The 22,185-nt window shown below is 35.8% G+C and overlaps 1 protein-coding gene across 30 annotated transcripts in view; it reads left to right on the forward strand.

Moving 5' to 3' along the window:
* Positions 1–22,185, forward strand: part of MBD5 (methyl-CpG binding domain protein 5) — a 496,045-nt gene that overhangs the window by 414,735 nt on the left and 59,125 nt on the right. The window lies entirely within an intron of this gene.

Genomic DNA, 22,185 nt, shown 5'->3' on the forward strand with positions numbered 1-22,185 from the left:
CTGCCTTTAACATTTTTTTCTCTCATTTCAACCTTGAAAAATCTGATGATTATGTCTTAGGAATGGTCTTCTTGTGTAATATCTTGCAGGGGGTCTCTGCATTTATTGAATTTGAATGTTGGCCTCTCTAGTGAGATTGGGAAAGTTTTCATAGACAATATCCTCAAATATGTTTTCAAGGTTGCTTGCTTTCTTCCTGTCTCTTTCCATTCTGTCTGTGTCCAAAAGGAAATGCAATTTTGATTAATTCAGTGATTTGTTTAAACAGAAGTCAGTTAAGAGAGTGTCCTCTGTAGTTCAAATCAGAATATGTTCTTCAAGTAAACGAAGGCAAATTCAGTGAAAAGTTATTCTACATCTGACAGATGTTATCAGAAAATAGCTACATAGGAATGAAATTGCATTTGTAAGTTAAGATACCTATAGACCAGCAATGTTTCTGTTTATAGGGTGTCATGGATTTATGATACCAAGCTGTTTTTAGCTTATCTGTGTAGGAATTCTGCCTGTTCTAGGAAGATTGACATGTTTTCTTAAATGTAATATTTCTTGATACTCCCTAATACAAGTTCTCCACTCCTGTCTGATCAGGCTCTTTCTTCTCCCATGAGTGTCTAATCTCAGTAAAAGTGTACAAGATTTATTTGAAGAAATAAAAAACATCTTTATAAATTCTTTCTTGGTTTTTTTGTTGCTGTTGTTTTGTTTTGTTTTGTTTGGTTTTGTTTTTTGACATAGTCTTGCTCTGTTGCCCAGGCTGGAATGCAGCGATGTGATCTTGGTTCACTGCAACCTCCGCCTCCTGGGTTCAAGTGATTTTCTTGCCTCAGCCTCGCAAGTAGCTGGGACTACAGGCATGCACCACCACGCCAGGCTAATTTTGTATTTTTAGTAGAGACGGGGTTTCTCCATGTTGGTTAGGCTGGTCTCGAACTCCCGACCTCAGGTGATCTGCCTGCCTCAGCCTCCCAAAGTGCTGAGATTACAGGCGTGAGCCACCACGCTTGGCCCTTGCTTTTCTAGATTATGTAGAAATGATGGAATTGAAAGGACCAGAAAGAGTATCCAGTTCACAGGAGGTTCTTCAAGGTTTTCCAAATGTTGGCTACAACATTTAAATATTTTAAATATATTAAATATTTTAAGACTGTAATAAAAACAACATGCACACTCAGATGTGTTGTACCAAAGTGTAACACATTAGGGATCACAAAATAAAATGAAACTATGCCACTAGTTTATATTTTTATGGACTACTGATTAAAGCTTCCCTACTAATTTTTATGTTGGTATTTGAACTTCCTATGAATATATGTTTTTATTTATTTTTTATTTTTATTTTTTATATTTTCACTCTGTCACCCAGTTTGGAGTGCAGTGGCACGATCTCGGCTCACTGCAACCTCCACCTCCCTGGCTCAAGCGATTCTCCTGCCTCAGCCTCCCAAGTAGCTGGGACTACAGGCACGTGCACCGCGCCTGGCTAATTTTTTGTATTTTTAGTAGAGATGGGGTTTCACCATATTAGCCAGGATGGTCTCGATCTCCTGACCTCATTATCCACCCGCCTCAGCCTCCCAAAGTGCTGGGATTACAGGCATGAGCCACCACGCCCAGCCCATATGTTTTTATTTTTAAGTTTATAGCTGGCCTTTTTAAATCTTGGGTGCAATATTACATACCCAAATCAAATTATACAAGCAAGACCACTGCTGCAGCATATGTATGCCTTGGATTTGGGTCATAATCCCAAAAGCCACAATCCTGAAGCCATAATCCCAAATACTGAAATTCTGAAACATCAAATTCCCTAATGTCTAAAATCTTGAAAGTTACTATCTCAAAAGATCAAAATCTCAAAAATATTATTCTGGAAAAAATAATTTTAAAAATTCTTTAAAGACTTTTATTTACACTTTGAAAAGAGGATCTATTTGATAAACAAAAAATATGTCACAACACTTCACAGGCCACTTTACACAATGAAATAGGAAATAATAACATACATATCTTTGCAAGCAGAAACAGGCATACTAAAGACAGTCACATAGGTGAAACAGTTATGAGCAGATGAACCATATTCATGAAGAAATAGGCCAAAAAGTGAAATATATAAACACATATTACTATGGTTGGTAATTGTTTGCACCCAGCTTTATGACTGCAATCATCTGAAATACCATGACAGACAACCTAAGTCTTTTGATGAGATTAATCAAAAGCCTTAATAGGTCACCACCACATATGCCCAAAGAATCAAGATCATGAGAATTTTGGTTTTTATCTTTTAGAAATGCAGATATACAAAAAGGACCTGTCTTTATTTACTGAGGAAGTTTCAACATTTTATGTACACCCACAATGTTTTCACACAAAGTCAACTTGTGATAATGTACTTTCGTGGAGTCAAATTTGCAATAAATGCATAAAATGAATTAGAACTCTCTAAAAGTCTTACATATTTTGTACATCCAGTATTGGAAATGATGCAAAGACGAAATACATAGTGTATCATATTGATGCTATATGTGAAGCTACGGAAGTCATACACAACTGAGAATTTGGCAGGGGAGATTTTTTGTATTTTTCATCTGCCTTTTCACTTCTGTGATCTTCAAAATACTCACTGCACTTGTATTTGGAGAGTCGTAGTGGTCTACACATTTTGTAAGTAAATGCTGTCACTTGAAACTCTGGTTACTGCTCAGACATTTCAATTAAGCAATTTTCTGCTTTCACACACCAATAATAATTAGCTTTATACTTTGTATCTGTCATTATTAAGTAGCCTTGTACACTTACCTGATCATAGCCCTTTTGCAACAGAACAATTTCACAGATCTCTTCCACAGTGTTGTGAGGAATACAGTAAGAAGGAAGGATATTTGGCTTCTTGATACCAAATCTATATTAGACAGAGTTTTCCAGAGAGAGAGAACCAAGAGAATATGTATATAGATATATGAGAGGAGATTTATTAGGGGACTTGGCTAATGCTATTATGATGGGTGAAAAGTCTCATTGCAGGCCATCTGCAAGCTGGAGATCCTGGGATGCCACTGGTGTAAGTCCTGGAGTCCAAAGCCCACCAACATGTAGTTCTGATGTCCAAAGCAGCAAAAGAAATGTGTGTCCAAGTTCTCGAAGAGACCTGTTTGCCTTTTGTATTACTTCTCTCTAGGTCCCCAGCAGATTGGATGGTGCCTGCCAACGCTGAGAGAAGATCTTTCCCACCTAGTTCACTCAGACTCACACTCCTGGAAACACCATCACAGATACACTAAAAATAATGTTTTACTAGGTATTACTTAACCTAGTCAAGTTAACACCTAAACTTAAGCCCACCAGTCCACCTCTTATCAACCTGGCACCCAAACACATCCCCTTAAACCACACTTAATTTCCAAATAAAGACAAGAACAAAGTAATAGTTCCACCTAACATGATCCAACTATCTGACGTACAAGTGAAAATCACTAATCCCTTCCTCAGAAGTTGACTTTCAGGATTTCAGCATTTGAAATTTTAAGTTTTTGGGATTCTGATTTTCAAGATTTTAGACTTTAAGGATTTTGATTTTCTGGGATTTCAGCATTCAGGATTAGGGTGTTGAGGATTGTATCTTTTGGGGTTATGATTGGGACTAGTATGCCACATTAAGTATAAACAGATGTAGGGACATCTTTCTGCCATGTGTACTTTAGCACTTTAAAGTAGTTTGCAATGATAAGTTAATATGATAATACTATATTAAAGAAAGTTTTCTTGCTTAATTTAAGTTTTGGGTGGTTCTGGTCCATTTTTTATATTCGTGACCAGAAATATGAATAATGATTATAGTCCCTCAGTTTTGAAAACAAGATATTCTATACTCCTCATTCAAGCTGCTGGACCATTTTAATTGCAGAAATCTTAATATTGCCAAATTATTTTTTTAAAAACTGTTACCATTTGTAATAGTGTATTTGTGGTAACCAGAATTGTATCAATATTGTAAAGCCAAACAAAATACAGAAATGACATTGTTGATGAGGATAATTTAAAATTGCAATTGTCACCTATGTTCATTCTCTCTCTTTTTTTTTTTTTTTTTTTAGAGATGCAGTTTAGCCCTGTCGCCCAACTGAAGTGCAGTGGTATGATCATAGTTTATTGCAACCTCAAACTCCTGAGCTCAAGCATTCCTTCTGCCTCAGTCTCCCAGGTAGCTGGGACTACAGGCATGCACCACCATGCCCAATTAATTTGTAAAAATTTTTTGTAGAAACAGGTTCTGCTATGTTGCCAGGCTGGTCTCAAGCTCCTAGCCTCAAGCAGTCCTCCCACCTTGGCCTCCCAAAGTGCTAAGATTACAGGAGTGAGCCACCGCACCTGGCGCCTATTCTTAATAATGAATTTAAATAAGTAGTATCATAATTTGATCTTACGAATTTTTACTAATGAATCTTTTCTGTTTTATTTAATGGCAGTTCCATTTACATTTCATTCAACAATGGAGACTACTGATAAAATAATTTGAAAACTAGTCTAATCTATTATTTTTACAAATTAAGAAATTAAAGATCAGTTTAAATGTGTCTTGCTCAAAGTTATAAAACTAGAAAATTGCAGATACCAAACTTTCTAATCCTTAGTTCACTGTTTTTCTGATTTGTTACTTCATCTCTGTGTTCCTGTAATACATCTGGTTCAACAAGTCATTTTCTGTGTGCCAGGCACTTTTCTAGGCACTGGTGATATCCCCTGAATGTGGAATTGTGCTGAAAATAAAATAAGAAAAGTAGATTCTATTCGGCCTCCACTCAGTTTTGATTGAATACATGCCTGCAGTTAGCATCTGTGTGTGTATTTACCACTGGGTGATTTTAATATATTATTAAGAAGAACTTTTCTATCTATGGTTATATTTTAGGAGAGTAAAAAAAGCAAGTTTTTTAGTATTTTGAAAGGAGAGAAAAATGAGTAATTAAACTTAAAGCACATTGTTTGCATACTATGTACCTGACAATTTGTTTGGAAACCAGGAACACAAAGATAAATAAGATAAGGGATGTGTGTATATTAAAACGGAGTTTGGCAAGTGCCGTAACATACATGTAACACATGTAGGATGAAAGAGGAATAAACAGGTAACTCTAGGCAGGATAACAAAAGGTTACTTTAAAGAAAATGGGGAGAAGTTTTTTTTCTATGCCCAGAGAGCAACATATGCGAAGGCTTAGAGTTGTAAACACATTGTTAAGGCATTTCCAAGAAAGTTTAGTGCAACAGAATACAATGGTATCTTGGAAGGAGCTGTGAGTAGGCATTTTTAGACATTGTTAGATGATTGAGAATGGAATTAATGACATGTGAGGACTTCTTCTTTTATGCCCTTGGTATTGGTCATGCCTCTTTCTATTTCCTGCTTCATCCCTAGCTCTATTCCTAAGTGTTATTTTAATTTTTTTTTATTTATTATACTTTAAGTTCTAGGGTACATGTGCACAATGTGCAGGTTTGTTACATATGTATACATGTGCCATGTTGGTGTGCTGCACCCATTAACTCGTCATTTAACATTAGGTATATCTCCTAATGCTGTCCCTCCCCCTACCCCCGACACCACCACAGGCCCCAGTGTGTGATGTTCCCCTTACTGTGTCCATGCGTTCTCATTGTTCAATTCCCACCTATGAGTGAGAACATGCGGTGTTTGGTTTTTTGTCCTTGCGATAGTTTGCTGAGAATGATGGTTTCCAGCTTCATCCATGTCCCTACAAAGGACATGAACTCATCATTTTTTATGGCTGCATAGTATTCCATGGTGTATATGTGCCACATTTTCTTAATCCAGTCTATCATTGTTGGACATTTGGGTTTGTTCCAAGTCTTTGCTATTGTGAATAGTGCCACAGTAAACATACATGTGCATGTGTCTTTATAGCAGCATGACTTATAATCCTTTGGGTATATACCCAGTAATGGGATTGCTGGGTCAAATGGTATTTCTAGTTCTAGATCCCTGAGGAATCGCCACACCGACTTCCACAATGGTTGAACTAGTTTACAGTCCCACCAACAGTGTAAAAGTGTTCCTATTTCTCCACATCCTCTCCAGCACCTGTTGTTTCCTGACTTTTTAATGATCGCCATTCTAACTGGTGTGAGATGGTATCTCATTGTGGTTTTGATTTGCATTTCTCTGTTGGCCAGTGATGATGAGTATTTTTTCATGTGTCTTTTGGCTGCATAAATGTCTTCTTTTGAGAAGTGTCTGTTCATATCCTTTGCCCACTTGTTAATAGTGTTGTTTGTTTTTTTCTTGTAAATTTGTTTGAGTTCATTGTAGATTGTGGATATTAGCCCTTTGTCAGATGAGTAGATTGCAAAAATTTTCTCCTATTCTGTAGGTTGCCTGTTCACTCTGATGGTAGTTTCTTTGCTGTGCAGAAGCTCTTTAGTTTACTTAGATCCCATTTGTCAATTTTGGCTTTTGTTGCCATTGCTTTTGGTGTTTTAGACCTGAAGTCCTAAGTGTTATTTTAAATCAGAGACTGTATTTTGTACTTCCTTATCTTATGGCGACTAGCTCAGTGCTGAGGGCTTGGTATATGCCTACTGATTAATAGTGTTCATCATTCACTCATCAAATATTTTTGGTTCCAGTATGTGCAAGGCCTGTACTTTGTGCTATGGGGGAAAAAGTGACACAAAGCCAACCTTCAAGGAGCTAGTGAGCCCAAAACAAAAATTAGCAGGGATTTTTGTGTGTTATGATGACTGCTATATCCCATGTGCTCACAGAGCTTACATTCTTGTCAGAGGAGACAGACAATAATAAGATAAATTGTAAAAAATAGACTATGTTAGATAGTAATAAATACTAAGGAGAAATAAAAGTAGAAAAAGGATATATTAATTACCAGAGAAAGAAAGATAAGGTAAATTTACATAATTTCTCATCCCAGTTTCCACAACTCTAGAACAGAAAAAATAAAAGTATATGCCTTATATGATTGTGATAAGGATTAAATGAGCTTGGATATCCATATATAAAAGATGGAAACTAGACCCCTATCTCTTGCAATATACAAAAATCAAATCAAAATGGATCAAAGACTCAGATATCTAAGACCTCAAACTATGAAACTACTACAAGAAAACATTGGCAAAACTCTGCAGGACATTGGAGTGGGCAAAAATTTCTTGAGTAACACAAGCACAGGAAACAAAAGCAAAAATGGACAAATAGGACCACATCAAGTTGAAAAGCTTCTGTACAACCAAGAAAACAATCAACAAAGTGAAGAGACAACCCATGGAATGGGAGAAAATATTTACAAACTACCTATCTGACAGGGATCAATAACCAGAATATACAAGGAGCTCAAACAGCTCTATAGGAAAAAAATCTAATAGTCTGATTTAATAATGGACAAAAGATCTGAACAGACATTTCTCAGAAGAAGTCATATAAGTGGCAAACAGGCATATGAAAAGGTGCTCAACATCACTGATCATCAGAGAAATGCAAACAAAACTACAGTGAGATACTGTCTCACCCCAGTTAGAATGGCTTTTATCCAAAAGTCAGGCAATGAATGCTGGTGATGATATGGAGAAAAGGGAACCTTTGTACACTGTTGTACACTGGAAATGTAAATTGGGAATGTAAAGAGAGAACAGTTTGGAGGTTCCTCACAAAACTAAAAATGGAGCTACCATATGATCCAGCAATCTCACTCCTAGGTAGATACCCAAAAGAATGGAAATCTGTATCAGATATCTGCACTCTCATGTTTATTGCAGCACCATTCACAATAGCCAAGATTTGGAAGCAACCTATGTGTCCATCAACAGATGAATGGATAAAGAAAATGTAGTATATATACACAATGGAGTACTATTCAGCCAAAAGAAGAATGAGATCCTATCATTTGCAACAGCATGATTGGAATTGGAGGTCATTATGTGAAATGAAATAAGCCAGGTGCACAAAGACAAACTTCACATGTTCTCACTTATTTGTGGGAGCTAAAAACTAAAATAATTGAACTCATAGAAATAGAAAGTAGAAGGATGGTTATGTTACCAGAGGCTGGGAAGGGTAGTGGGGGTTTTTGGGGAGAGGTGGGGATGGCTAATGAGTACAAAAAATAGAAAGAATGAATAAGACGGAGTATTTGCTAGCACAACAAGGTGGCTATTGTCAAAAATAATTTAATTGTACATTTTAAAATAACTGAAAGTATAATTGGATTGTTCGTAACACAAAGGATAAATGCTTGACATGATGGATACCCCATTTATCCTAATGTGATTATTATGCATTGCATGCCTATATGAAAATATCTCATGTAACTCATACATATATATACCTACTGTGTACCCACAAAAATTAAAAATTAAAAAATTTAAAGGATTAAATGAGCTAATTTGTGTATACATAAAGTGTTCAGTGCAGTTCCTGGAAGTTGATAAGTGGAAATATTATTTATTCATTTGGCTAAAATAACTTTAGCATCATAGCCATCTTCTTCTCATAAGTTAGAGACTTCTTTTGTTAAAGGACATACTTTTCAGTGGTTTTAAACTGCTTTATCTAAGGCTAATACTTTCTCGCCCGTGTGTTGCTCCTTTTGGCTTCTGCTTCCACTGCACTCACATCTATTCCTTTCTTATTAAAGCAAATCATCACTCTTTGATAATACTTTGTCAAGAAAACAGCATTTGCTTATCTAGATGTCTGGTCATCATTTTCTACTTCAGCCATCAGGCAGGTATCCACATCTTCTTTGGAAAATATTTATTACTTCATCACTTATCACATCTCAAGGTTAAAAAGTCTGACAAAATGAGACCCCTATGTTTGTTTACCACCTAAAAATGAGTACGATATTAGAAATGTTATTAACAGACAGAAATATAAAATCTTCAATATTAATCTTTCAGAAATGAGATCATTTGCAAAGATTAGGCGAAGTTTCAGGTCTCCCACTAACCTTTTCTTTGCCCATCTAAGCTCCATGCAGCCCTAGATGTCTCCTGCCCACCACACCTACCAATTCTTGAAAACTAGATTAACTCTCTCTTCAAGCTTAATTAGCACGCCATACTTAGCCCTATCATAACAAGTATCATTCAGTGTTATGCCCACCTCCCCACCCCTCTGCTCCCCAGACAGTAAGCTCCTTAAGGTGAGGACTACGTTCTCTTCATGTTTGGATTCCCAGTATCCATCACAGTGCCTCACATAGAGTTGATGTCCAATACTTGCACCATTAATAATAATACCTGGAGTACATTTATTATATCAGGATTATATAATATAAATGCCACTTGACCTTGTTTCCACATCCCTTGCTTGCTCCTTTGTCTCTCTTGGCTGCTTTCTGAGAAATAGCACCACCCAAGCATGTTGCCACACCTTGTCCTACACATTCCCCTGTCCTGCTCTGGTTCAAAATCATTCCCTAGTTTTTCTTTTTTCTTTTCTTTTATTTTTTATTATACTTTAAGTTCTAGGATACATGTGCACAACGTGCAGGTTTGTTACATATGTATACATGTGCCATGTTGGTGTGCTGCACCCATTAACTCGTCATTTACATTAGGTGTATCTCCTAATGCTATCCCTCCCCGCTCCCCCCACCCCATGACAGGCCCCAGTGTGTGATGTTCCCCTTGCTGTGTCCAAATGTTCTCATTGTTCAGTTCTCACCTATGAGTGAGAACATGCGGTGTTTGGTTTTTTGTCCTTGCGATAGTTTGCTGAGAATGATGGTTTCCAGCTTCATCCATGTCCCTACAAAGGACATGAACTCATCAATTTTTATGGCTGCATAGTATTCCATGGTGTATATGTGCCACATTTTCTTAATCCAGTCTATCATTGTTGGACATTTGGGTTTGTTCCAAGTCTTTGCTATTGTGAATAGTGCCTCAATAAACATATGTGTAAATGTATCTTTATAGCAGCATGATTTATACTCCTTTGGGTATATACCCAGTAATGGGATTGCTGGGTCAAATGGTATTTCTAGTTCTAGATCCTTGAGGAATCGCCACACCGACTTCCACAATGGTTGAACTAGTTTACAGTCCCACCAACAGTGTAAAAGTGTTCCTATTTCTCCACATCCTCTCCAGCACCTGTTGTTTTCTGACTTTAATGGTCGCCATTCTAACTGGTGTGAGATGGTATCTCACTGTGGTTTTGATTTGCATTTCTCTAATGGCCGGTGATGATGAGCATTTTTTCATGTGTCTGTTGGCTGCATAAATGTGTTCTTTTGAGAAGCGTCTGTTCATATCCTTCGCCCACGATGGGGTTGTTTGTTTTTTTTTCTTGTAAATTTGTTTGAGTTCATTGTAGATTCTGGATATTAGCCCTTTGTCAGATGAGTAGGTTGCAAAAATTTTCTCCCATTCTGTAGGTTGCCTGTTCACTCTGATGGTAGTTTCTTTTGCTGTGCACAAGCTCTTTAGTTTAATTAGATCCCATTTGTCTATTTTGGCTTTTGTTGCCATTGCTTTCGGTGTTTTAGACATGAAGCCCTTGCCCACGCCTATGTCCTGAATGGTATTGCCTAGGTTTTCTTCTAGGGTTTTTATGGTTTTAGGTCTAACATGTAAGTCTTTAATCCATCTTGAATTAATTTTTGTATGAGGTGTAAGGAAAACTGGCTAGCCATATGTAGAAATCATTCCCTAGTTTTTCTAATAATGATGTAGTTAGAGGAAGGTGATATCCAAAAACAAACAAACAAACAAACAGAACAATAGTCTGGATATGAAGGGAAGACCTCAATGGTGAGAGGACCCTGTGGAGTAACTGTGGTCCAGGATAGCTCTTCCAGGTTAAAAACTTTTCTTATTCTCAAGAGTGATGAGCCCGTGGGATCTAACACAGACCATCTATATTTACAAGAAATTAATTTACATACCAGATTATTTATCTGTGTGTGTGTGTGTGTGTGTGTGTGTGTAAAACTGAAATACTTGAGCTTGCTATCCGAGTAAGTAACTTAATTATATCAGAGCACCTATGAAATCCATCAAATAATCAGAAGGTTATCCAATGGTGGCCATGGAGGTAGAACAAAATAAGTTAGAGTGTTTCAAGGATTATTTTACCCAGGCTGAGGAAGAGCCTTGTCACACAGAATATGGTAATATCTCCCTGATGACTAGGAGAAAGTAAACAGGTTATAAGATCTCAAGTATACCTTTGAAAGACTTGATGAATTTATTTGCTAACAGAAAACAATCTTTTTAATCCAGAAAAATTTCAGTGGCATTTTATATATCCTAAAATGAGTAATTGTACAATTAGATTCCATAATTATTTGATTTCCAAGATGAGTTCCTGAGACAATGACAATGTGATATTGCCAATGATGGTGGAAAGAGAGAAAGAAAGAAAGAAAAAGAAAGAAACAAAGAAAGAAAGAAAGGATAGGAAGGAGAAAGAAAGAAAGAAAAAGAAAGAGAGAGAGAGAAAGAAAGAAGGAAAGAAAGGAAGAAAGGAAGAAGGAAAGAAAGAAAGAAAGAAAGAAAGAAAGAAAGAAAGAAAGAAAGAAAGAAAGAAAGGGAAAGGAGGGAGGGAGGAAGGAAGGAAGGAAGGAAAGAAAGTAGAGGATTGAAATTGGATGGTTCTCTGTACCCTTTACCTACTCTAAGTCAAGAATCACCAGTCTCAATTTCCTTAGGAAAGTTACCTGTGTGCTTATGGTTTTAGCTGGCTTACTGGCCCTCCTGCACACACTGGTAATGCATAATGATCTACTAAGAATTCATCATTTATCCTTTTGAAGAAACTATGAAATGTAGGATAAATGGTTATTTAGCAAAATAAGTTATACCTCTTGTCAAGGGCTATAGTGAAACCTTCAGCCTTATCTCAAGGTACTTTCTATTCCAGAAGTTGGAAACCCACATGCCTATAGAGGCCAGGCTGATGGGAATGAAGCAGGAAGCTATTGCAGTGAACTGGAGCGCCAAATCCTTTCTGGAGGAGCAGCCACTGCTCCATTCCAGATAATTGTTGCAAGGCAGGAATGTTGGCCTAGTGTTACCATATTGTCCAGTTTCTCAGGTAAAGCAGGAAATAGAATTGTTATGTGAAATCTTTTGATTTAAATATTGTCAATTAATTTACTTATATTATTATTCTTAAACCATGTGCAAGCCAAACACTTCTGTAGGTAGGGTTTGGCCCAGAGTCCTCCTGTGTATGGCTGGTCTTACATTTTGCTTATCTGTTTGTTAAATTAGAGACTTTTACAGTTTTTGCTTTTCTTCAGTACATCCTCTAAAACACTCTATGCCTCATTTGGTTATACTGAAACTCCCTCCCTCTCCAACCTGAGTACTTTGTGCCTAAGATTTCTGTGGCTGCTACATTTTCTCTGCCATCCTCATCATTCCAATGAGCAGTCAGTCAAGTACTGAATGGAGTCTCCTTGAGATACTTTTCATATGACGCCATTAAACAACCATGGGTTTTACTACTTGTTTCATTCCTGATATGTGAGCTACATAAACACAGTAAAAGATCACTTATTTCATGGGGCTTAGAGATTATATGCTCTTTGGGCTCCCTTTTCTAAAAACTGCACAGAAATAATCTTCCTCCTCTTGTTTCTTGAAAGACCTTACCCGATACTTTATTAGACTGTAGTTATCTTGAACATTTAATTATATTTGCTGGAGAGATTGACTGGACTTGAGTGTTCCTAGATACATATTCAGACACAGTGTATTTGGGTGGGTTTCTTCAGTGGGTAAGGAGTTGTCTTATTTTTCCTTTTAGTAACCTGATTTTCAAGGTTACTAGGGTACTAGCAGAGTATTACTTTACCTCTGTTTGGTATTGATTTATTTATATTTGTTTATATACTTTATATAAAGTATAAATTACTTTACCTCTGTTTGGTATTGATTAATCCAAGTAGGAACTTGGCAGCCATTGCTAAATGAATTGAAGAGTGCTAAGTATTTTTATAGTAAAAGTGTATATAAATATTAGTGTATATATAAATACACCATTTGGTGTATTGCAAACCCCCAAATGGACATAATTTGCATTATTTTATTCTCATCCTACAGGTTTGGGAATAAACAAAATTGATATACATCATTTTTCAACAAAGATTTGACGTTCATATATCAAGCTGCATCCTGAGTAGACAAAACAGTAGTAATGCACAGATAAGATGTGAAAATTACCCCCCAAACCTTGTTGGTGTACTCTTAAATTGGTTATGTAAATGCAGCCAAGTTTTTTTTAATCAGTATTCTTTATGAGAAATCACCATATTACAGAAAAGCAAAAAATAACAGCTGTGCTAACAGCTAACATACAAGAATAAATCATGAATAATTTTTCCTTCAGAATTATAGTGAGTTTATCGTTTTGTTCATAGATGTTCTGGTATAACTCGTTGCTATTCTTTAAAACAATTCCCTACATTTCTTGAGTACATTCCTAGGTGGGTTTGCAGAAAATATAAAAAGTAAATTTTTTTAAAGATATGTATTTGAGAGCTGGTAATTGTTCACTTTTTTGGCTTTAAAGAAAGGAAGTGTTGCATAGTATTTTCCACACATGCATATAGACCTTCACTTCCCACCTCCTTATGTATTTTCAAAGGCACAAAGTGAAGCTTTAACCTGAACTTCTCTGCCTCAACTGCTTTTTCTTTTGCAATCTTGTAGGATGTCAAGGGTGAAGAGAAAGCTCAGTTCGTAATAATTTCTGTGAAGCAAAAGAACTGGATATTATATGGGAGAATTACAAGGGGAACCTAATTTAAAGACTTGGAAAGTTAAGTAAAGATTAGGATGATGAGGGAAGACTTCTCTGAGAAAGTGACATTTAAACTGAGATGAATGGGAGCTATTCAGTGAAGAACAAGAGGGTGAGATGGGAGACAATATTCCAAGCAGAAAAGTGGGCATGACACCCAGAGGCATTTTAGAACCAATCTAAAGGATAGCCTTAATTTTTATTTGCAGTATGTAGATCATAATAGGTTAATGCAGTATTCTTTCCGACTCTCCATATCTTTTTCTCCAGTTGAATAAAACAGAAAGAGAAATAATAGCATATTACTGGGCATGAAGCTTTCCAATAAAAAGCTTCCCTAATACTTCTAAGGATTAGGGAAACATTAATTAGCTCTTCTACAGATATAACACTTAATTTTTTGAAGATAGTATTTTCCGTGATTATAGAGCTAATATATGTTTATTATAGAAAAATTTGAAAATCCAAAAAGGCAATGAGAAAGTATGTTTTTATACTACCAGAGAACATATAGAGTATAATGGTGTTCTATTCCTATGTCTATATAAATAGTAGCATTTTTGTAAATTAAGATTATAATTATATGTATAATTTTATAGTATGTTTTTTCACCTAACAAAATCATGGTCCTTTCCCTAGTGCTATTAAAATTTCTGTAATATGACTTTAATAGCTATATATGACTAATAACAATTTGGGTACTTACTATGTGCTAGGCACATCTACATTAACTAACTTTTTTCCCAGAACAATCCTATATGGTTATAATCTCCATTTTATAAGAAATTTTAAAACTTGTGCAAGGTCACAAGCTAATAAAGGGTGGAGCCAGGGTTCAAACCCAGTCAGCTTCTAGCTTCTGCTGTTAACCAGTAATGCTATGTAGCCTCTAAATACTATGATTAATTTAAGTTAAACCCTATTTTAGGCTTTTTAATTGTTTTTAGTATGGTTTTGGCTATTTGAAATAATATTTTTGATTCTGTGAGTTGGCAGTTAAGTCTGGGCCCAGCTCTAGCAGCTCATCCCTGTTCCACATAGTGCTGGCTATATTTACTTACAAGTCTAGGGCCTCAGCTGGACTGGCTGGACAGCGAGACTTCTCTCTTTACATGGTCTCTCATCCTCGATGGTGCTAGCTCAGATTGTTCACATGATGATGGCATTCCAAGAAACAAGAGCGAAAGTTATAAGGCCTTTTGAGTTTTAGGTGCAAAACTTGAACAGTATCATATGCATCAAATTCCACTGGTCAAAGCAAATCACAAGGCCTGCCAAGATTCAGCATATGGAGTGATAAATTCATCTCCTGATGGAAGGAACTGCAATTTTGTGGCAGCCTACCACACTTAGCATTTAGTTCAATGAAGACTTCTATGTGACTAGAGTGTATAAGTTGCTGAATTTTTGTAGCAAAATATGGCCTGGAATAAATAAACTTATTGACCAAAGATGGGCACAGACAAGCATGGCTGCTACTTTGACTCTGAGGACTGGCCTCACTCTCAGGAGCCTGTCTCTCTGTACCTTGAGAGCTGATGAAAAATATAACTTTCCTACATCATTATGATCCCTCATTCTCAGGTTGTGAACTTTTACACTTTTCTGCAGTGAACGGTCAAGGACATCTGAAGCTAGAGAATATCTCTCTAATGAGTGGCAGGGGCAGGAGAGATTTGCCTTTTTAAGGTATCCCTGTACAACTACATAAAACAAAAGTAAATGTGCTAGGGGTAGTTAGAGTGATTAAGTGGAGCCTGGCAGAGTTATTGGATCGCTTACAAAGGGTGTATCTGAGAGGTATATTTTGGAAGAAGTGACTGCACAGTGAAGATAAGCAATGAAAATAATAACTAAACCAAAAATGGGGCTAGTGTATTGCACAGTTTAAAAAATATGAAAAAAGATATAACTGCAAGATAAGTGTGCTCATAAAGAAAAATGCATGTCTTGAGTAAATAGGTCAAAGGTGAAACAGATGGGGGGAGGTTGAATGAGGGATTGACTAGGTACTGTGAAGGAGCTGTTTGAATAATTGATATGAGGGTGAAAGATAATTAGAAAGGGGAAATGTCATTTAGGGTTACTCTAACAAGCATAATTCAGCCAATAATGATGGAAAGATTATGAATATGTTCATTTATTATCCAATAAAATGATAATTATGTTGTAGCCACTCAGACTTCCCTCTCCACAATAGTAATGCTATTATTTTTAATCCAATCATGTCTGTTGTTACATGTATATATTGTTTTGGAATATAAACATAAAGGCGGGTTTTATGTAGGACTTGTTCTTAATTGGAGAATATGAGGTGTTCACTTTTGCAAATATAGGAATAGAGTGGACTTCTTAATTATCTTTAAATATTCCATAAGCTAAGTTTATAATCATAATATTAAAAGTATAAGCCATGATTTACATATATCAAATATCTATGTTTTACCTAATGTACATAGTCTCAGCTTGATAAATCAATAATTAATTGGGTGTTGATTCTGTCCCACTGTGTCTCCCAGTATTCCCATCCACTGAGCACAAGATCATTGTGTGATGTCATTATAAACATTTTAATAGAATTTACTCATAATATCACATGACTCAAAAACCAATTCATTATTTTTATCATTAATCATTTAATTATTCAGAAGAATTTGACATTTGATGTTATTCAAAAAGATTTATGAAGAATAGCTATTTACTTATTTTCATGATGTTACTTCATGTTGTTTTGAGTATAACTTTAAAAATACACATTTAAGCCAAGCACGGTGGCTCGCACTTGTAATCCTAGCACTTTGGAAGGCCAAGGCAAGAGGATCATTTGAGCTCAGGAGTTCAAGACCAGCCTGGGCAACAAAAGGAGACTCCCATCTCCACAAAAAATAAATCAAAAAATTATCCAGGCCTGGTTTGGACACCTGTGATCGCAGCTATACAGGAGGCTGAGGCAGGAGGATAGCTTGAGCCCGGGAAGTCAAAGCTGCAGTGAGCCGTGATTGTGCCATTGCCCTACAGCCTGGGCAATGGAGTGAGACCTTGTCTCCAAAAAATTAAAGTAAAATAAAATACCCATTTAACACTTCATAAAGTAGTGAGTTTATTATTAGGTTGACAATAATCTCATTAAAGCAAAATGAGAAAAAAAAAAGGTCTATTTCATTAATTAGCATCCTGTTGAAATATGTTTAATTTTTATATTGCTACACTTGTTTATTTTAGGGATTCCTTTATTAATCCAATTAAAATGTGTCTATAAACCACTTAGTAAATAAAACCGTGATTAACTTTATAAATAAAATTTAAAGTTAGCATATCAGTTTTCTTGGAAGCCCTGTCACACTTTTTGAACACAGAAATTATCACTCAGAGATTGTGAGATCATCAGGGAAAAATCTAGAGCAAAAGGCTCTTTTGCTATTTTATCAACATGCATAGTCATTGGCTTCTTTTAAAAACCTCTTTCATTTTAGACATGTGTTGCTAAAATTTTATAAGCCCACATGGTAAAAAATCAGAATGTAAAATTATATTGACTAATTAGAATATGCACAGTCTTTCAGAAGTACTTAAGCACCTACTGTATGCTAGGGATGATACCAGGAACTGGGAATATGACAAGGTCCTGCTCTTAGAGTGTTTACATTCCAATGGGGAGAGCTAGTCAATAAACACACAAACAAATGATAAACAGTAATAATCATCATCAGATAATGAAAGTATCAGTGAATTAAAGTGTGAGAGAGTACCCCTAGAGTTTACATTACAGTCATTTTGACGAGATGATGTCTAATTTGAATGATGAATGGTCAGAAGAAGCCAATGTAAAGAAGAAAATCAAGTTGCTAAAATTCAATCCACCAAAAGCCATTTCCAGAGACTAATTTGCATTTTTAAAGGAATCAGGAAACTGAAAACATTGGTGGAATTGTGGCAGGTATCTCCCTCAGAACATACACACAGGCACACACACACACATGCACACAACTTTGCATCTCATTATTATTGCTACTGTTTGTGAAATAAATATAAATTAAGTCCTAAGTATAAGATCTATTGTAGATCCTGAGTCTTAGTAAGATGGAGGTACCTTCATATCACAAAATCTTTAATTTTTGACCTATGCTTATTGGGCTTAAATGAAGCCATATAAACAAGGTGGGTCTTTGGGGAGGTGAGGCAAGATGCTGTGAAATAGGTACTTCTAAAAGCATAGTAATATTAAAGTGTTAAATTTGGAAAACAGCAGAAGCTTTAGTTTTTATAATATTATAATTATAAAATTATAAAAGTAAACCTGACTACATCTTGGATGAGTCTATATAGAAGGTGAAGTTATCAGAATCATGGAGGCAAGTAGAATCAATTTTAATATTTAGCAAAAGAAGGCACGCATCAGTTTCAAAAGTTTAAGAAACATGGCCTGAAATGCTTTCCTAGTTCTACCCTCCTGGCACTTTAAGAAATGTATGAAGGACCCTAGAATTATATAATTCTATGTTAGCAAATAATTTTAAATGAGTTATCAAGATGGGCATAGATTTATGTACAGGAATATTTTTATCAGATTTATTTGTCATTGTGAAAATTTGGGAGAAAAATCTATGTCCACCAAAGGAAAATAAGTAAAGAAATTATATATACATTTATCACAAAATTATATCCAACAATTAAAGATCATGTTTTGGAAAAGTGTTTAATGTCATAGTAAAATGCCCAGGAAGAAAAAAAGTGGTAATGATTCAATATTTAAAAGACACACATTTACACATAGAAAATATTTGGAATCAGTGCAACTGCTTCAGAGAACAATTTGGCAATATCTGTAGAGTTGAAAATGTGCAGATCCATTAACATGATTGATATACCAATAGATGAATAGTTGTATAATCATATGATAGAATACAATTTCAAGCTTAAAAATTCATGAATTGGAATCCTATATCTGCAACAGAGATAGATCTAGGTACCTCAATAGAGATGGCTCTCAAAACATGTTGAATTTTAGAAAAGCAAGTTGCAGAATTATATGTAGTATATACCAGTATTTATATAAAATTTCAAAATACATATAACAGTAAAATATTGTTTATGTATACATATATAGGAAATAAACATATTAAAACATAACCCAGAAGGATACAGACGAGAATCGTAATACTGGTTGCCTCTGGGGTGGAAGGGAGGGGATTGGGCTGAAAAGGAAAATGGGGTGAGGGTGAGGGATAGTATTTAACTTCATCTGTAATGTTTTCATCTTATTTTTTTAAATAAGCAAAAATGACAAAATGTTTACATTGTAAAATTAGAGTAGTGGATGTTGTTGTTTATTAAACTCATTTTTAATGTAAGCTTTTAAAACTTTCTAAAAACAAATGATTGAAAAAAAGCATATCAATGGTTCCATAGACATTTAGGATTTTTTTGTTTCTGTGAAGAATGTCATTGGTGTTTGATACAGATTGCATTGAATCTGTAGATTGCTTAGGGTAGCATTGTCATTTTAACAATATCAATTTTTCTAATCTGTGAGCATGGAATAGCTTTCCATTTGTTTGTATCCTCGCCTATTTCTTTAATCAGAGTTTCATAGTGTTTTTGTATTTTCAGTGGTTATTATTCAGCAGTGAGATTACAGTTCAGTTTTTATTTTCATCTTCAAACTTCTCTGTATTTTCCAAATTCACAAGATGAGTGTTGCGAAAAAAATTGCCACTTAACAGATAAATGATAACTATATTGGATTTTTGCTATGAGGGCTTCCTAAGACCCTTACAATTGTGCTGCCTCTGGAAGGCTGAAGTAGCAGCAAAAAAGGGATGATCCTCCCATACTCCATCCCCAAACCCTGGACAAAAGAAATTAGAGGGCTGGCTGCCTGCAAGATGTAAAGCTGTAAAACCAGCCTTTTCTTGGGAAGAGAGGCAGACGGATTAGGGTGTCAGTCTTGATCAGGCATCAAACTTCGAACAGGCATCAGAACAAGCACCTAGAGGTTTACTAAAAAATAGATTGTCCCTAGAGTTTCTGATTCACTAAGTCTGAGATTGGGCCTGTGAATCTGCATTTTTGACAAGTTCCCAGGTGTTACTGGTAATAGTGATGTTTGTCCCAGAACCATGTTAGAGAACTCCTGGTTTAAGCAAAACCCAGCCATCAGATATTGGTATTTTTGATTACTGAAATGTGAGGGAAGCATTTGGCAGGAATCACTACAATGTTATTATCTGGCAGATCCACAAATTACTTAATGGAGTGAGCCAGCCAGTCTCAGGGAAGTTGGAGCCACATTTAAGAGCAGGCAGAAAAAAAAAAAAGGTATCAAATAGAAAGCTGAAAAGTAGGGAAAATGGGAATGGGCCCAGTGTAATGATGAGACCACTGAAGAGATTTCTTTGGAAAAGCAAGGTAATAAAACAGGCATGAAAAGGGACTGTAAAAAAAACAAGTTTGGTCATCAGAGTCTGTTGCTATTTGACAAAACTAGAGGTCCAGGATGACACAAAGTTCATACCACTTTCACAAGCGCTAGAAATTCCATGAGGCCACAAACTCCTTGTGAACAGGGATTGACCCGTCCTAACTTCCTCATCCCTCCCGTCCTCTTTCCTTTTTGTTCTTCCACATTGAATAGCTCATTAGTGCCAAATATTACACTGGGCTTTGGATAAATAGTACTTTGCTGTCGTAGTTCAGGCTGCTATAACCAAACACTGTAAACTGGATGGCTTATAAACAACATAAACTTTTTTATCATAATTCTGGAGGCTGGGAGATCCAAGATAAAGGCACTGGCAGATCCAGTGTCTGGTAAGGGACTACTTTCTGGTGCATGTGGTCTTTTCACTGCAAACTCACATGTTGGAAGAGATCTCTTTATGGCCTAATGCCATTCATGATGGCTCTGCCCCCATGACCTAATCATCTCCCAAAGGCTCTATCTCCTAATACCATCACCTTGGGGGTTAGGATTTCAACCTACGGATTTGGGGGGGACACAGACATTCAGACCACAGTACTTACCATCTTTGTACTCCCAGCACCTAGCATAGTACCTAGCACATATAGTAGCTGCTCACTAACTGTTGAATGAAATATGAATAAACACAGACATGAACAGCAGGAGTCATGGTCAAAGGTATAGTGAGTGGAAGATGTTATGCCTGTAGATGGGCCATTTCTGTGAGAAGTATAACACAGTGGACTGGGGCCAGTGGTGCAAATTTCCAGCTTGAGACCCCATTGGAATTGCTACTACTTGGTACTTTTTATAGTCTGAAATTTTTCCCAGTAAATTTTTGATATTTTCCCCATTGCCTGCCAGTGTTTGCCACGTCCATACCCACAGTTCCCTGTTTTCAGTTGTGAGTAAATGCTTCATTACAACACCCTTAACCTGTCTCAGAGCCAAGGCTGCAAATAAGGCATATACCTGAATATACGATGGCCTTTACTGCAAGGTGGTCTCCTGCTTTCCTAATGAGAGATCCAAAAAAAGGTTTCGGGCCAACTTAACTACACAGACTTTTAGGAATGTAGTTAAGTAGTTATGTGTCTATTTACACTGTTTAATTTGTTACTTGATTAAGTTATGCATGCATCTTTGAAATACGTGTTGTCTAAAATAATACATTAGCTTCTTCACTTATGTGTTTTAAAATGATTTCAATTTAATACTTTCATAAGAATCTTAAGTCATTTAACACAGTTTTTCAGAGTATATCATCTTCACTTCCATTTAAATTGTTTGAAATATAGTATTTTTTGAATCTGTGGACAATGCTGCCACTGAAATATTTATCACAAACCACAAGTCCCATTCATTCAACACTAGGATAATTGTTTTTTACGCATTCTTTAGTGTAGTTTCATGAATCCCACAATGTAACTATATACAGTATATTAAATTGGTCATAAAAAGGCTTCTTTACAAAAACAAATAATACTAACAAATGTGAAGTTGCATTCCCCACAAGATTGGATACTAAATCTTCTAAAAATTTACTTGCCATGATTTTTTATTTAATAGCTCAATCAAGATAACTTTTATAAGCATTCCACACTATCATTGATTATGGCTGTTTCAAGCTAGTATGTCCTCCTCAAATAGCACCTCATAACTGAATAAGGGAATTAAAAGAGCACCCCATAATATAAGGAATTTTGTAAATTCTTGACTATAAAGCAACTTCCACTCATATTCAGTAATATGGGAGGGAAACCACCTCTTATATTTGGAAAAGTACTATAAATTTATTTCCTTCTAACTTTTTATTTTAAAAAAATAAACATTTTCTTCTCTAGACCAAAACTGTATAATGATTAGAAAAGAAAACTGAATCAAAGGGTTATATAATATTAAGGACTTATTAAAATATGGTTGGATTAACACA

The sequence above is a fragment of the Homo sapiens genome, chromosome 2, assembly GCF_000001405.40.
Source record: "Homo sapiens chromosome 2, GRCh38.p14 Primary Assembly".
NCBI classification, from domain to species: domain Eukaryota; kingdom Metazoa; phylum Chordata; class Mammalia; order Primates; family Hominidae; genus Homo; species Homo sapiens.